This window comes from Homo sapiens, chromosome 22, assembly GCF_000001405.40.
Source record: "Homo sapiens chromosome 22, GRCh38.p14 Primary Assembly".
Classification (NCBI taxonomy): Eukaryota; Metazoa; Chordata; class Mammalia; order Primates; family Hominidae; genus Homo; species Homo sapiens.
This window is the reverse complement of record NC_000022.11, coordinates 19391039-19408429: the sequence shown is the minus strand read 5'-3', so window position 1 is coordinate 19408429 and position 17391 is coordinate 19391039. Positions and strand designations below refer to the sequence as shown.

At 46.1% G+C, this 17391-nt stretch overlaps 1 protein-coding gene across 1 annotated transcript in view; it reads left to right on the top strand.

The window, feature by feature from the left end:
- HIRA (histone cell cycle regulator) overlaps positions 1-17391 on the top strand; it is a 101036-nt gene that overhangs the window by 23304 nt on the left and 60341 nt on the right. The window contains exons 4-9 of the mRNA NM_003325.4: positions 1156-1246; positions 2550-2644; positions 10343-10438; positions 11483-11643; positions 13921-14088; positions 16216-16329. Coding sequence (NP_003316.3) covers positions 1156-1246; positions 2550-2644; positions 10343-10438; positions 11483-11643; positions 13921-14088; positions 16216-16329 — 725 coding nt within the window. The remainder of the gene's footprint in view (positions 1-1155; positions 1247-2549; positions 2645-10342; positions 10439-11482; positions 11644-13920; positions 14089-16215; positions 16330-17391) is intronic.

The window sequence follows — 17391 nt, the reverse complement described above, 5'->3', positions numbered from 1 at the left end:
TAGCACATGTGTTTGTAATTAGAAAGATAAGGCCCCGTGCGGCGGTAACTCCCCTCGGCCTGCTGTCTGAAGGCACAGATGTTGGCTGCACACCTGGGTGAGTTATTCAGCAGAAGACTCGGCCCGCCCACAGAACCATCTTTGGACAGTCTGCAGGTACCTCTGGTGATTTCCTGCTCATGAGTCGTTACTGCCTGATTCCATGGGGCTTTGGGGCCAGCGACCTGGACACAGTAGGGTTCTGGGGAAGGGTGCGCAAGAGACAATTTGCCAAAACATCTCAGGTTGTTACTGTGTCACTCTGAGGCTCTCTGCCAGGACCCTTTTGGCCATCAGACAGTGTGATGGTTTCCTTTCCTGCTGTAGTGCCTTAGTTTCCCACCCCTGAGATGCTTAATGAACAGTCACTGGCCTTTGGACATCAGCTCCTTCCTTTCCTCTGTGTGTTCTTGTCCTCTCAACATGCCTCTCAGTGTCTTCAGACCTGGAGCATGTTACTCACGGGCCATGTGGGGGCTACAACTTTGATAGCCATCTTTCAGGTCTTCCAAAGGCCAAGTTGTGAGTGCTCTTGGAGGCTCTGGCCCATCAGGGGCCTGGGGGAATTTCTGCTGATCTTAGCTTATAAGCGCAGAGTCAGTCAATCTGCAGTGCTGGCGAGTTTGGAAAATCCGAATGTGACAGGGCTGGCTCTGACAGATGAGATGAAGTCAGAGTTTTATACTGTAACAGACTGTTCATCTGAAAAATCTAGAAAAAGCATCTGACCCTTTTTAGCACGTACTCTTTTTTTGAGAATAATCTCTACTCAGAAATGTGTCTCATTAATAGATGACCCTTTTGAAATAATGAGATTTGGTTATCATTTTTTGATTTTCTTAGAAAGAAGCCTTCTATTGACTATGTCATTCAGCACTAACGATTCTCAGATAATGTATATTTTTCCCCCTCCAGACTGTTCTGGTAATTTGTTTTTATAGCACAAGTAGGTTAGTGCTTAAACTGAATTGTTTTTCTGGGGCTCTCACACAGTAGATGCCTTAAATAGATTAGATAGATTAGATTTTATAAACCCTTTACATCTTGCCAAACTCTACATAAAGCAAATGGGCATGACTACTGGATTTTCATCACCTTATTTTTTTTTCTTCCCAGCATGTGTGAACTGTGTGCGGTGGTCAAACAGTGGGATGTATTTAGCTTCTGGGGGAGATGACAAACTGATTATGGTGTGGAAGCGGGCTACGTAAGCATCATTTTCCTTTCTTCACATTTTATTTTTAGAAGCTGCTTTGCTGGTCTTTATCAAAGTCACCTTTCCCTACCCTGTCACTGAAGTTCCCATAGCCCTGACCTCATAAGTAGTGGAAAGTGCATGTAGGTCAGGAGCAGGTGGAGCCTGACCAGGAATTCAGGAGACCTGGTCAGCTGCCCCCTCACAGGACTGCAGGCTCTCACCTGAAAAGGAAAGTCTGATCTCTTCTAGTGCCGATGTGGGTGGGGCTTCGTTGCTTTTGTTTTTTCAAGTGAAATTTCACATGGAAGCCCAATATACAAAATGGTTAAAAGTCAGGGTGCTCTGGTTCTTGCCCAGGATCTGGGGCAGGGGATCCAGAGTCCAGCCTCTTTGCCATTACTTTATTCTCTGTTGGTCCCCACCTGGGGCAGCCTCTGCTCTACTCTCAAAAGGAGCTAACCATCACCTGGAAAACTATTGCTCCCAGGTCTCTGGGCCAGTCAGTCTGGGGCACCAGACCCTGCACCATTGCTCACCAAGAGTGGCCCTGTGGCTGTGGCTTCAAGAGCAGAGGCAGAGGCTGTCTCTTCAGCCTACTTGGCTATCTCAGCACACTCTTTCTGTGGATTTGTGATGAGCTCTACAAGAGCAAAAGGTGTTATCAGAGGCTCTGATCATCGGTGTGTCAGCACTGCCTCCACCAGGCCCCAGGTGATTGATGCTCCTCTGGCTCCTGTGGTGGGGGCTAGTACCTATAGATCGCGTGGTTTCTCTGCCTCAGATGTCAAAGCCATTTGATTCATTGTGAGATGCTTAAAAATAAAATACTGTTGATTTTGCTTCTTTAAATAGCCAACATAAGTAACATTTAGTATACAATTTAGAAAACTAAAAATACAAAAGAAAAAATATCCCTCATCACACCACCTAAAGAAAGCTACAGTTAATATTTTGACATTTTGGGATGTGTGTCCTTCTAATCCATTTTCCATGCATAGATGCTATCCATGTCATGTGGTTTTTTTTCCTTTACATAAGTGATATCATATTGTATGTGATGTCCTGTGGCCTGCTTCTTTCACTTATTGTGAACGTTTTCCCATGCAAGATTTGTAATGGCTGTGTAGTATTTCATCAAGTGCATGGATCATAATTCACCTAACCAGCCCCTTTTATTCAACAACCCAGTGCTTTCCAGTTCTTGTTTGTTTTTGCTTTGTTCTGTGTGCCCTGATAAGCTGGCTGCAGGGAGCATTTCTATGCAGTGCCCAGAGCACTCCATGAGTGCCTTTTTGGCCCCTTTCTCACACAGGTACATCGGCCCCAGCACCGTGTTCGGCTCCAGTGGTAAGCTTGCCAATGTGGAGCAGTGGCGGTGTGTCTCTATCCTCCGGAATCATTCAGGCGGTGAGTGGGACTGCCTGTTGGGGTGGGTGGGCCCCTGACACCTGGCTCAGATCAGCAGCACCGCCACGTCCCCTGTGGGACTGTTTGGTCCTTAAAGCAGCCCTATGTCTGGGCTGTCCCACCCCATCACAATCAGTCACACCCTGCCTGTCCCTTAAGATCTGTGCAGTCACCGGGTCCACTACCTGTCTCCAGCTGCATTCAGTCTCCCCACTCTTGCCCTCATGGGGTATATGTTTATATCTTTAATGTAGAACTTCCCACGTTCTGCTGTTTGTCCTGCTGAACAGAATCAGTACCTTCATCAGCGGATCACTAAGTCCGTAAGCACACTTTGTTTATTCCCCAGAAATCAGCTCACAGATGCCCATTGAAAAGTTTCTCAACTTGACCTTGAGTATGTTTGCAGTGTTTTAAATAAACTTGGCATGGAAAGAAGCACATTTTATGAATTTAGACTGAGGGGGAAGGTTGCCCATGCACTGTACACTCAGGTGTCAAGGATACCAGGTTGAGTGCAATTTAGACTTGACTTAGGAGTCTGAGTCCGTTTGGTCCAGGAATGGACCAAAGGGTTTTCCAGGCAGGGTGGTACAGCATAAGTGAGAAAGTCTTGGTGTGAATGGGGATTTGGAGGCATTTCACCATGGCTGGATCTTTATAGACAAGGCAGGGAGCAGCACAAAGTGAGGCTGGTCAGGTATGCCAGAGTCGGATCATGGAAAGCTTGTGCTCCCTGTTACTGAGGGAGTCCCTTGTCATGGAAGAGATAGGGAGCCACTAAAAGCTTTGAAGCACAACAGAGAGGTCATTGTGACAGCTCAGTGAAGTGGAGGTTCTTCCAGTCGTTTAGATGGACACTGTCAGGGCCTGAGCTAGGCCTGTGATAATTGAGGTAGAGAAGAGGAGATTGATTTGGGAATACTTAGGATAGGGCACAGAGAGGTATGAGATAGATTCTTGGCTGGATGCCTAGATAGTCAGAGGTATCACCTCTGCTGAGACCCTAAGGACAACAGGCTTATGGGGACGGATACCAGTTCAGAATGGAGTTGCCCCTGGCTTGAGGGGTAGGGGAAGAAATGTCAAGAAACCTTCAAATTGAGCCTGGAGCTCTGGGCGAGGACAGGGCAGGAGTGAGAGGTGTGGGAGGTGGCATCAGCTATAATCCATTGTTAGTGTATGCTTAGCAGATTCCCTGTAGACTGTTAAAAGGAGAACAAACCCATCTTGGTGGCGGCCATAGATTGAGTCCACATTTGTGAAAGCTGAAACGGTTAGTGTTGTGTTATTGTTTGATAATTAAATTGTGTAATTGGCCCTTACTTGTGTCACAGTACTAACAGTGAAGTCTAGTTGGACTTTTCTGGAACTTGGTGCACATGTCTATGAGGGTGCCCAAGTGTGGGGTAGGCCTCAAGTGAGGACTTTTACAAGGCCCTAACCAGAGCCTTGCATTCTCTTTCCTACCCACCGCCCAGTGGGGCTCCTTTACCAGACAAGTAGAGTTGACCACCTTCAGCTGGGGACCTGACACTCATTACTCACTGGTCCTGGTAGCAGGTGCAGGCAGAACCATTCAAGAAGAAAAATCAATGAAAAGCAGAAGTAAATGAATAAGAAAGAACCGGATCTTTGAAAAGCAAAGTGTGAGAAATATATACTTGGTATATTTAATTGGGGGTTGGGAAGAAAAAACCTAGACAAAATTAGAGTTTAAAGATCTAGAAAAACATTTAACCCAGACAGAAAAAAATCATCAAACAGTACAATATAATGTTTGTACTATTAAGCTAAAGAACAAAATACTAAAAAATAATTTTCTAGAAAATAGGAACTTTCATAATTGATACCATAGGATTAGGAAAAACTGAACAGAATAGTAACCAATGAAGAAATGAAAGGCTGTCTTCAGAAATGCTTCTTGGTTCTAAATTAGTTGTAGGTGCATTGTTTTGAGCTTTTAAGAAAAATTATACAGAACAATAGCAATATTTATAATTGAAAGGAAGATATAAGCCAGGGTTATTGTATCTGGAAAATACAAGAAAACCTAAGAAAAATAATGTAACAAAAGCATAGAATAATATGAATAAAGATAGAAAAATCAGAAACAATACTAGTAAATATAATAACACTTGAAAGCAGTTACTCATTTATTTATTTATTTACTTGAGACAGAGTCCTGCTCTGTTGCCCAGGCTGGACTGCAGTGTTACGATCTCAGCTCACTGCAACCTCCACCTCCCGGGTTCCAGCTATTCTCCTGCCTCAGACTCCTGAGTAGCTGGGACTACAGGCACGTGCCACCACACCCGGCCACTTTTTTTTTGTATTTTTAGTAGAGACAGGGTTTCACTGTGTTAGCCAGGATGGTCTTGATCTCCTGACCTCGTGATCTGCCTGTCCTGGCCTCCCGAAGTGCTGGGATTACAGGCATGAGTCACCATGACCGGCCAGAAAATAGTAATTTATTATGATTAAATGTGACTTGTAAGTGTAGTACAAGGGAATCTATTAATATAACTTTACATACTAGGAAGTTAGATGGGAAAAGCTACAGTCATCTTAGGTGTTTTAAAAGGAACATTAGACAATTCAACATCAGTTCCTATTAAAAATGCTTTTTTTAAAATGCCCATAGGAAGATATTTCTTTTTCTTTTTCTTTTTTTTTTTTTTTTTGAGACTGTGTCTCACTATGTCACCCAGGCAAAATGCAGTGGTGCAATTACGGCTCACTGCAGCCTTGAACTCCTGGGCTCAGGTGATCCTCTTGCCTCAGCCTCCTGAGTAGCTAGGACTACAGATGTACATCACCATACCTGGCTGATTTTTTTTTTCGTAGAGATGGGGTTTCACTATGTTGCCCAGGCTGGTCTTGAACTCTTGGGCTCAAGCGATCCTCCCACCTGCATCTTCCAAAGTGCTGGGATTACAGGCATAAGCCACCACACCTGTCCTAAAGCTATTTCCTTAACATGGTAGAGTCCTTAGTCTTTTTCAAACCAGTGGCAAATATTACAGTTCACAGTTAAGCCTGGTTGCGGTTTATATCAAGAAAAGACAATGATGGGTGCTGTCATTTAATTTGTTGCTCTGGAATTTCTGCAACACAGTTAAATAGAAACTGGAAAATAAGGCAAAAAGGAAATGAAGGTGACATTATTTCATATTAGGAAAAACCATAGGGGGATAAAGCTCTTGGAACAAATAAAGCACTGAAAAATACTTAGAACTAATAAAATGAGTCTTTATATTGGCCTCATAACAGAACAATTTTAAATTATTGGTCTTTTGCTACTAATAGCCAATTAGAATATCTAATGATAAAAAGAGAATTATACAGAGTGGGATCAAAAGTTATAAATATCCAGGAATAAGTAATCTTACCAAGAAATGAATTAGTTTTGTAAGACTTAAATCACAAACGTTTTAAGATACAAAATGACATTGAGAGATAGAAAATGGCTTCCTAAATTGAAAGGCTAGATGAAATACATTTTTTCCCAAATTAATATTTACTTGTCCACATACCAAACATTTATTGAGTGCCTGCCATGTTCCAGGCACTGTTCTTCTCTCAAGGAGATTTGTTCTTGTAAAAGAGACAGACGAGTGAGTAGTATAGGAGATTTGAAGATGAGCCTAGAAGGCAGAGTCCTGTAAGGAGTTGGAAGATGAGTGCTGGGGGCCAGTGAGGAGATGACATTTGAGGGAAGACTGGACGGCAGTGAGGGGACAGCCAGTGCGAAGGCCTTGGAGCATGGACATGTGCTTACTGTGCCCAGTGAACCCCTGGGAGCTGGGGCGGGGGAGGAGGGTGCGGGAGGCAGTGTGCCTTTGAGACCGTGGCAGAGGCTCTTCTCTGAGCAAGAATATGAAGTCTCCGCAGGGATCTAGGCAGAGGAGTTGAGACCTGTGGCAGCAGTGTGGATTCTACCATGGGGGTCTCAGGGCTGCACTGGGAAGACTAGTAAAGGAGCCGCTCCGAAAAACAAGGGAGAGACAATGGTGGTTTGGAGTCATAACACAGAAGTGGTGAGAAGTGATCAGAGGCGGATTTCCTGGTGCATTGAATATGGGATGTGAGATAAGCAGAGGAGTCAGGATGGCTTCCCGGACTATGGTCCAAACAGTGGAAAGGATGCAGTGGCTGTAACCTGAAGCAGGAAGTCTGCAGGTGGGACAGAAATGTTTGTTAAGGGAAGTGTTTTCAGAGTTTGGTTTTGGATATGTTAAGTTTGCCAGTGTAAATGGACATACTGTGTAGACATTTGGAAATATGAATCTTGGAAATATGAGGTTCTGGGTATGAGCAGAGTCCAAGGATGAGCCTAGGGATTGGAGAGCTGAAACCAGAAAAAGAAGCTAGAAGGAGAGGCCAGTTAAGACAGTGAAAAGAAGCGAGGCATGAGGATCACTTGAGGCCAGTAGCTCAACAGCCTGGGCATCATAGCGAGACCCTGTCTCAGCAACAACAACAAAACGGACAGTGAAGAGAGTATTTGAAGGAGAGGGGAACAGGCAGCGTATTGCTTATTGCTGAGGGGCAAAGTGAAGACCAAGGATAGACTGCTGGGCTTGACAGCATGGAGGGTGCTGGGGGCCTAGGCAAGTGCAATATTCATGTGGTGTCATTGGGCCAAAGGTGTCATTGGAGAGTACTCAAAAAACACTAGGAGAGGAGCTGAGCTTTGTCAGGCGTGTAGGAAGATGGAGGAGAAGAAAAGGGGGAGTGGTGGTGGGCTCTCAGCTGGAGGAGAGAGGTAAGGACCAGGTGGTTGGCAAGTGGTGAGGGGACGGCAGCATCAGTAGATCGGAGTTCCTGGTGGCGTGAAAGTGCTGTTGGAGCTGAGGGTGAGCTAGGAGCACGGGGCTGATGGTTGGCCTGTGGGAAGGTTGGAATTGAGACAGATTGCAGTGATTTGTCATGGAAGGCCTCTGGACATGACCGTGGGGTGAAAGTAGTGGAAGCCACGGTCATCAGAAGGGAAGGAGGAATTTAAGGAACCAAGAGCCTGGAGTGTTAGAAGAATCATCCTCTTGGAGTCACCAAGAATGATGGTGAGAACAGTGGCCAGAAATGTAAATCTACAAGTGAGGGGAGGGTCTCCTGTGTGTGTAGATGCACCATAAAAAGGAGGTGCTATATAGTCTGAAGACAGAAACTCCAAACTGGGAGTTTAGGAGAAAATTATGTCATGTATGTGGATTTACTCAGCAGTGATTCTAAAGGATCGTATCTGGAAGGATAAGAATGTTACGGATGAAAACATTCAAAGTTCCAGTGATAGAAACATCATGGGTTTGAGGGTAAACTCGTAACACTGAAAGAGGCTACAGTATACCTAAGAAGTTGGTGTGTTGTGAAAGGAGGCATCGCTTATCAAAATGGATTCTTCCTCACATGGAGCATAGTAACTGTTAAGCAGTTAGTGAGGAGAAATTAATTTCAATCCTCACCAAATACAGCACACACCAAACCAGATACTAAAGAGAGAAACATTCTAAATAACTACACAAGGAAAAAATAGAATTGAATATTTACCAGACCTCTAGCAGAGAGAATATTTTTCAAGGTTAACAAGGCAATAGAAGAAATCACAAAGGAGAATAACAGACTTTACTCCATAAAACTACTACAGTATAAAAAAGTAGAGAGGTGAAATTTGCAGTTAATAGCTGCATTATATGTGTCTGTGGAGATTGCTAAGAAAATCCCTTCTCCTTTCTGGGCTCCCACCTAACCACATATTCTCTGTTCTAGGATGTGGGCACTCCCCTGCTGTCCTGGCGTTTGCATGTGTGCCCCTCCAGGACTCTCAGTTACTAGAGAAAGTTGTTGTTTTCTTCATTTTTGTAGGCACTGCATTTATGTTGTTAGACCCACTGCCCGAAACACTTCCCAGTAAATGGTCACAATAAGTCAGCAAATCAGTCCAAAAACACATTAGATAAGAGACAAACGCTTTCACTAATAATCTAATTAAAAATTTTAAATATAAAATTGTATTGAATAAATAAGTCGGAAGGGGAAAAAGTCATCATCCTCAATGCTAATAAGGGAGTTTTGAAGCAAACAGTCTGCATGTAGAAATGTAAAACCACAGGGATCTTGGAAAAGCAGTCTACAGTTTTATGAGAATCCAGACCTATGAGGATGCTCAGATATTCTGCCCAGGATTCCCACTCTAGGGTATGCGTCTCAGAGTAATAATCTGGAGTATGGAGAGTGACAAATACACACGGGCCCAAAAAACCAGAATCCAGTTAATCTTCAGTGTTAAATTAGGTCAATTAATAGTAGTGAATACTCTCAACCACATAGAATGCAGGGCAAAAAAGGAAAGAAGCTGTGAAGATCACATAGGCATTTAGAATACAAAATGTGAACCACAGCATGTGAGACAATTTGAAAAAAAAAAAAAAACCTGTTAAGCTGTTACTATAGTTTTTTTTTAACTGGAAAAAATACAATAGATATTTGGAATATTTTGCTTAAACCTCTTGTACAAAGAAAGGACTTGATAGCTATTACCTTGCTGCTATGTTTGTTTCTTCAACTCACCAATCATTCTTCTGTATACCTAGCACTGCACCAGGCGCTGAGGTTAGAGAAATAACTAAGACTGCGCCCTTCACCCCTGATGGCAGGATAGGCAAGGTTGGCACCATCGTCACAGCGGACCCTCATCGATGCCTTGGTGTGTGCCTGGCATGGTGTTGCAGCAGTTTATCACATTTAATCCTTACAGTGACCCTATGAGGATAGGTTTTGGGGTTTTTTGTTTCATTGGTTTTTTTGTTTGTTTTTTGAGACAGGGTCTTACTCTGTTGCCCAGCCTGGAGTGCAGTGGTGCAATCATGGTCACTGCAGCCTTAACCTCCCTGGGCTCAAGTGATCCTCCCACCTCAACTTCCTGTGTAGCTGGGGATACAGGCATGTGCTACCAAGCCCAGCCAATTTTTTGTAGAGATAGGGTTTTGCCATGTTGCCTAGGCTGGTATTGTACCTCTGGGCTCAAGCGATCTGCCCACCTCAGCCTCCCAAAATGCTGAGATTACAGACGTGAGTCCCTGCACCTGGCCTAGATTTTGTTTTTTAATCTGCACTTAACAAATGATAAAATGGAGTCACAAAGAAGTGAATGTGAATAATTCTGTTTGGAGGCTCCATAGTGAAGGGGTACTCCTGTCAGGGTCTGGGAGATGAGACCCAGTCCATGAACCAGACGAGGGCCTCAAGATGACTTGTGTTCAGTTGTCAGCAGCCCTGGAGTTCTGACTGTGCCAGGCATTCTGCCATGTGCTTTACCCACTGTGTCTCATGCTCAGAAGGCTCTCGGAGGAAGGCCCTGTTATGATTGGCAAAGCAAGTCAGCAGGGCTGAGGAGCATGCTCCAGGCCACAGACCCACGAAGTAGCAGGCTCTCATGCATGGGTGTGGTGCCATATGGTGCCCAAGCTCTGAACCACGCCCTCAGTTGCTTCGTCTGTAAAAGGAGTGAGGCACTGGGGTCGGTTAGATGCTTTAAATTTATGACCAATTGAAAAATTCTGGGGGGAGTTTTTTCAGGTTGGTTAAAAAATACCAGAGTGGTTATGATGGTCCCAGGTCCCAGGGGCACTGGCCAAGCTAATAGACAAGGGCATCACCAGGTAAGAGATCTCACCAGAACCCTCTGTCTTCTTTCAGATGTGATGGATGTAGCATGGTCTCCCCACGATGCCTGGCTAGCCTCATGCAGCGTGGATAACACTGTCGTCATCTGGAATGCTGTAAAGTTCCCAGGTCTGGGGCCTCCTCTGACTGGTTAACAGCAAGCAGTACTGCCTGTCAGTTTCTGGAGCAGGGGTTGGGCTGTCTCCTTAGTCTTGGTGGCAACAGATGTGTCACAGTGGCCTAGGATTTATGTGTCTTGTCAGTTTTTCTTTGTCAGTTACATTTGTTTAAGCTTTAAAAAGAGATTCATGCTTAAGAAAAATGGTAACTGAGTGCTAGCATGGCATGCCACAGATCAGGAGGGTAATGGATGGGCAGCTGTTGTTGGGGACCCTGATGCTCCTAAACCTGCTGTGTGCACCCCCACCACTGGGCTCTGGGCTCAGCTCAGTCACCATCTCCTCTGTGAAACCCTTGAGCAGATACGGGCTAACACAAACCCAGTTTTGCAAAAGATTGATTTTTCTTATTCATTGTGTTTAAAGTCACAACAGATGGCATAACCTGGCACAGTGCTGCAGTTTATAACTAGTAAAATTCTTCTCATATTTCAGCTCTGTATTTGAAGTATGCTTTCCTTATGGATCCAGGTCATTTTAACTCTTTGAAAGCCACCAGCATGTGTGGAAACACTCAGTCTGGCTATGGAGAGGGAAGCTTTAGAGACCGGAGTAGCATTTGGATTACAGATCTATATGGGGTACCGTCGTACACACCTTTGTCTTCAGCCATAACTTATAAAAGACTCAGCCACAGTCAGGCCCTTTGAGCTAGTAGGCCTCCTCCTTATCAGGGAGCTACCAGGGAGGCTAACGTCAGAAGTGCTGGTGTCACAGCCCAGGAAGGGCAGCCATAGGCAGGGCCGCTAGATACAGATAAGACCTGGATCAGAACTAGCCCCTTGGTGCCTGCCTCCTTGATGCTGTCATTTCTTCAATTGGCTTTTGCCTTGGTGGAGATCAAATGAGGAGGCCCTTCTGCTTCTGTCTGGTGTGGGGGCTGGCCATGGCAGACTGCTGAGTCCCCTCTCTTGCATATCCATCCCATGGCCCATGGATTGCAGGTCATGTTTCCCTCAGACAACACCTCTCCACATTCCTTTTTTCTTCACAGAAATTCTAGCTACTCTGAGAGGTCATTCTGGCTTGGTCAAAGGGTTGACATGGGACCCTGTTGGTAAATACATAGCTTCTCAAGCTGATGACCGCAGCCTAAAGGTGTGGAGGACGCTGGACTGGCAGTTGGAGACCAGCATCACCAAGCCTTTTGATGAGGTAAGTGGGGACAGCTCAGGGAGCTGAGCCCCCGCAGCTGCCCCAGCCTCTTCCTGACTTCTGTGTACAGAGAGGGAGCTGGCCATGGGCCAGGCCACCTGGGGAATGCACAGAGTCCGGGGGCCTGAGCGGATTCACCAAGGCTCTCTGGGGTGGGACTCTGGCCCTAAGAGTCAGATAATACAGAATCCTTCATTTCTGAGACGCTGTTTAATTTCCAACTTTGAAATAAAAGGGATTTATAGTTTTGTTGTTTTTTGCTTTGTTTTGGCGACAGAGTTTCGCTCTTGTTGCCCAGGCTAGAGTGCAGTGGCACGATCTCAGCTCACTGCAACCTCCGCCTCCTGGGTTCAAGCGATTCTCCTGCCTCAGCCTCCTGAGTAGCTGGGATTACAGGTGCCCACCACCACACCTAGCTAATTTTTGTATTTTTAACAGAGATGCGGTTTCGCCATGTTGGCCAGGCTGGTCTCGAACTCCTGACCTCAGGTGATCTACCCGCTTCAGCTTCCCAAAGTGCTGGGATTACAAGCATGAGTCACTGCGCCTGGCCCGGATTTATAGGTTTAAAGTTGAAGTGAACCTTAGAGATGTCTCCACATCATTCTGTCACCCAGCTCACTCCCACAGACGTGGATAAAACTGCTTCTTATAGTGCGGAGTTTACTCTGAGCCTCCCGCAGAGCAGCTTGTTGGGGAGGATGGAGGAGACTCTTGTGCCATCCTCGACTGTGCTGTGCTTGTTGATATGCACCCTGCAGTTCAGGGGCCTTTTTTCCTGGCTGGAGTTAGCAGTACAGTTTGCACATGTTTGGAGATCAGACTGCAGTAGCTTCTCTGGTATTTTAATCTCTCTTCCGTTATTTGAGTTCTGATTTCAAATGGAATGAGAGCTCAAGATCACCATTGTTCATTAGACATTTATTAAGTGTCTACTGTATAGAAGGCAATAACTGGGCACAGGGAAATAAAAGTGGATTGAGATGGAGTCTCTCCTCTTGAAGCTTAAAGCCCCATAGGAAAGACAGGCATTCCCATTAGTTGCATGATAATGGAGTTGTCCAGAGTGCAGAAACAGCCCAGGAGAGGTGAGTGCATCAGGAAAGACTTCACAGAGCGAGGGACACATGAGGGAAGGTTTGCAGGAAGAGCACGCATTTGCCCACTGGTCAGGATGGCTGCAAAAGTAAAGTGATAGTCATATGTTCAGTTCTTCCCGCACAACACCAGCTCCTGGGCTAGGTATATGAGTACTGGTTTTTACCTTACTTAGTCTTGCCCTAAGGAGCTTTTGCTCCTTCTGGAGTTCCTCAGGGCTCTGACTGCCAGGCAGTGGGGTCCCATGAGGTGGACTCCTAGGGACGGCTTTAGGAGTGTCTTGAGTACCAGCAGGAGGTGGTAGTACTCTTCAGCCTCTACTGGGTGGGCCCATCCTTCCAGGTAGGGGGTGGTTCTGTCACCTAGGCTGAGAGCTGAGGTGGGTGATTTCACTATACTCAGGCTCTGGTTTGTCATGTCCTGCTCTAGAGCTGTGAGGTCATGATCTTAACCCTTAAGTCTTTAGAGCTGCCCTGGGCCCACCTTGAGCTTCAAGGAGCTGGCTCTGGACCCATGTCATCTCTTTTTGCAGGAGGGATAATGTGGAGGGATGCTCTGCCTCAGCCCCCAGTCCAGACTGGGGGAGCAGTGCCTTTCTACTGTTCCTTTTATAGTTTATAAGGATGTTACAAACCTCTTCTCCCTTGCGGGTATCCTCACCACCCTTTGGGTGAGGCAACAGGCTCAAGAGAGTAGGTGGTGCCTCACAGTCATCAGCTACATTACAGACACAGGCTTCTGCCAGGCTCCTGGGTTAAAAAGGGCTTTTTCTCCACCAGAGTATATCTTGAGGATGCTGTGCAGATGCCATGCTGTGGGTTAACAGGTGCTACACAGAAGAATTGGGTCAGTGGCCAGAGAGATTTGGCCCATGCAGAGGCTATGGTTCAAACAGGTAGCCTTCCTGCAGATCTCCTCAGGGCATACACTTCTGTACTATATTTCTTTGTTCAGCTCCTCTGGGGGAGTGTAGGATGCTGCAGTTTCCAAATTCATTTCACAGAGCCCTTTTTGGTTGGGCCATCTGGTGAGACAGAAGCTGTCAGTGTAGCCAGAAGCTTGGGGTGCATGCTCCACCATCACACATTTATAAATTGAAGTTTAACTTTATCCTCGAGGCCAGAGTTTTGGTCACAAAGGTGGCCTTGAGCTCCTTTCAAGTGCAGATGCTTCTTTCAGTGTGGAGGAACGACCCATGTGTTGCGGCTCAGCTGGTCACCTGATGGGCATTACCTGGTGTCTGCCCATGCCATGAACAACTCAGGCCCCACTGCCCAGATCATCGAACGGGAGGGATGGAAGACCAACATGGACTTTGTTGGGCACCGGAAAGCTGTGACTGTCGTGGTGAGTGCCCAGGGAACTAAAGGGAGATGGGCTCCAAGATTCAGCAAATATTAATTCTTGGTTTATTTTGAATAGTTATACTTAAATATTTAAAAGCTAATTTTACAAAATAGAGTATGTACTTGGTTGATTTATTGGCAAACTTTACATGTGAACATCACCAAAATCAGTCTTGGGTTAGGAACATCGTAGCTCCACATCAGCCTTTTACACACTCAGGTATGCTTGGGGTGCCCAAGCACGGTGCCACCCTCACCTGGCTCCAGTGAATACAGGTACAATTCTGGTATACCCACCAAGCACTGTGCTTGTCCCCACACCTGGCAGCATCAACCACAGGTGCAAGGCCATGCCATGGATCACTGAGTTGGGAGCTGCTGCCAGATCTTGCTGCGGCAGGTGAAGAGCTCAGAGGCGTGAACTGCTGTCAGTCCTTAGGCATGAGAGTTGTCTGGCCACTCGTCTTATGCTTCTCCATGACTTTAATTAAATAGTGTCCTGACAGAGCCCAAGGCAAGCTGTTAAGTAGTTGCGAATAATCTGTGAGAACCAGGATTTTCTCAACACTGGGCAGCCAAATAAAATAAACAGATTGGTGGACTAAGGTTGATAAAAGTGAAGGATCATCCAAGACCCTGATGAAAATAGACTCACTTTTGCCCGTGTTTAAATAGATAATAAGTATCGGCCGGACACGGTGGCTCATGCCTGTAATCCCAGCACTTTGGGAGGCTGTGGTGGGCGGATCATGAGGTCAGGAGGTCAAGACCAGCCTGACCAACATGATGAAACCCCGTCTCTACTGAAAATACAAAAATTAGCTGGGCATGGTGTCATGCGCCTGTAATCCCAGCCACTCAGGAGGCCGAGGCAAGAGAATCACTTGAACCCGGGAGGCGGAGGTTGCAGTGAGCTGAGATTGCGCCACCGTACTCCAGCCTGGGCGACAGAGCGAGACTCCGTCTCAAAAATAAAAATAAAAAAAGATAATAAGTATCATATATTGTACCTTAAAACACAAATTTTATATGAATAAAATATTACTTATTAAATTTTTTTGTTTTGGAGTTCATGTAGGGTTTTGTTTGAACCAGAGCTTTGTTGCTAAAGTCTTTGGAAATCAGTGCTTCATGGTTAGTGCTCTACGTGATTCTCCCATGCAGTCCTCACAACCACTTTATTAGCAGCTCTGGGAGATCACGACGCCTGCCTATGGCTCACAGAGCTCCTAAGGCCCTGCAGCCTCATTGGTGTTAGAGACAGCAAGCCCAGGGACACGCCTCTGAGTTCCATCTTCTCCAGTCTCTGTGCACCCCGGCCATTCCTGCCTGCCCTCTGGAATTAAAACATCTCTAGGCTACCTGACACCAGGCTTTCAGGAACCCTCCTTCTTCTGCCCTCAGTTGTCCTAGGTTGGGGATTCCCAGAGCGCCCACCCCTTTAAATCCAGGAGGGTGTCTGGGAGCTCAGTGAGTGCTTTCATCCTTTGCAGAAACAAAGACAAGTTACTCTCGGGGTAGTTCCCTGGACTAAGCAGCCAACCAAGCACCTTTGTGTGATATTGCCATGGTCACTGGCCCAGGGAGATCACAAATGACTCTCTGACTGAGCAGATCTCTGCTAGACGGTTATGACTGAACAACAAATGCAGTGAGGCAATAAGGAATTCAGAGATTCACACCCCTCCTGCCCATCCCCTTGGCCTCCCTTAGGAGATAGGGAGTGAGTAGGTCTTTGTTTCTGAAGCCCCCTTGCAGGCTCAGCTTTTCTGCAGGTCCTAGGGCTGGCCCTGCCTGGCCAGAGGGAATTGAGAAGGCTAGTTTCAGTAGCTACGCATCCCTTCTACTTGGCAAGCTCCAGAAATGGAGAGTTTGGTAGCTCTAGTTTCAAATCTGCATTTCCCAGCTTACTCATTTGGTGCCTCCGCACATACTTTCTGACCTCCCTAAGCTTCCTTTCCATCATCAGCCAGATGCCTCATAGGTGGTCGGGAAGATGAAATGCATGCTCAGTGCCTGGGCTCAGAGAATGTCTGTGGGAGACTCCCTTCAGTGGGCTGGGACTTGGGCACAGGGGACATGCCTGATGCTTGATTAATTATTTTTAACATCTGTTATTTGGCTTTAGAAATTCAACCCAAAAATCTTCAAAAAGAAGCAGAAGAATGGGAGTTCTGCGAAGCCTAGCTGCCCGTACTGCTGCTGTGCTGTTGGCAGCAAGGACCGCTCGCTTTCTGTCTGGGTGAGCCTGCTATCCTGAGCTTTTGTTGCAGGACGGGAGGTGTAGGTTGGTAAAGTAGCAAGTGGAGGAAAGAGACCTGCTTTGGGTGATGCTAAGAGTGTATTTCTATTCTGCACCTGGGGTCAGCCCCTCCTTGGAAGCTCACAGGCTCTCCTGCTCTCCCAGAAGGAAGTGCTGAAGACTGGGTCTGTGCCCAGCCAGGAGAGGCCACCTTGACCCCCACCTAGACCAGCTCTTGTGTCCAGACTCAGGCAGCACCCTCAGTGGTCAATGCCATGAGCAGCATGTTGGGCTTGCTTCCTATTAGAAAAATCTTTATATGGCTGGGCGCGGTGGCTCACGCCTGTAATCCCAGCACTTTAGGAGGCCGAGGTGGGCGGATCACAAGGTCAGGAGTTCGAGACCATCCTGGCTAACACAGTGAAACCCCGTCTCTACTAAAAATACAAAAAATTAGCTGGGCGTGGTGGTGGGCGCCTGTAGTCCCAGCTACTCGGGAGGCTGAGACGGAGAATGGCGTGAACCTGGGAGGCAGAGCTTGCAGTGAGCTGAGACCGCGCCACTGCACTCCAGCCTGGGCAACAGAGCGAGACTCCGTCTCAAAAAAAAAAAAAAAAGAAAAAGAAAAATCTTTATATAAAGTGTATTCACCTGAAAGGTACAGTTTGGTGAGTTGTCATACATGTTTACACACCAGTGTCATCACTGCCTAGAGCACTCCTTTTTGTCCCTTTGTCCCTCCCCAGTCAAGACCTCCCTCACCACCAAAGCAACCACTCTAATGGCCTCTGTTACACTGATGAGTTTTGCCTGCTCTTGAACTTCATATAAATGCAATTGTGTGGTACTTGCTTCTTTGTGTCTTCATTTCTTTTGCTTGGCACAGTGTTTTTGAGATTCGTGTATGTTGCTGCACTTAACAGTATTTTATTCCTTATAATTTCGGTGTAGCATTCCACTGTATGAATACACCACAATTTGTTTATACAGTCTCCTGTTGATGGACATTAAGATTGTTCCAGTTTTGAGATATTATGACTAAAGCTGATATGAACATTCTTG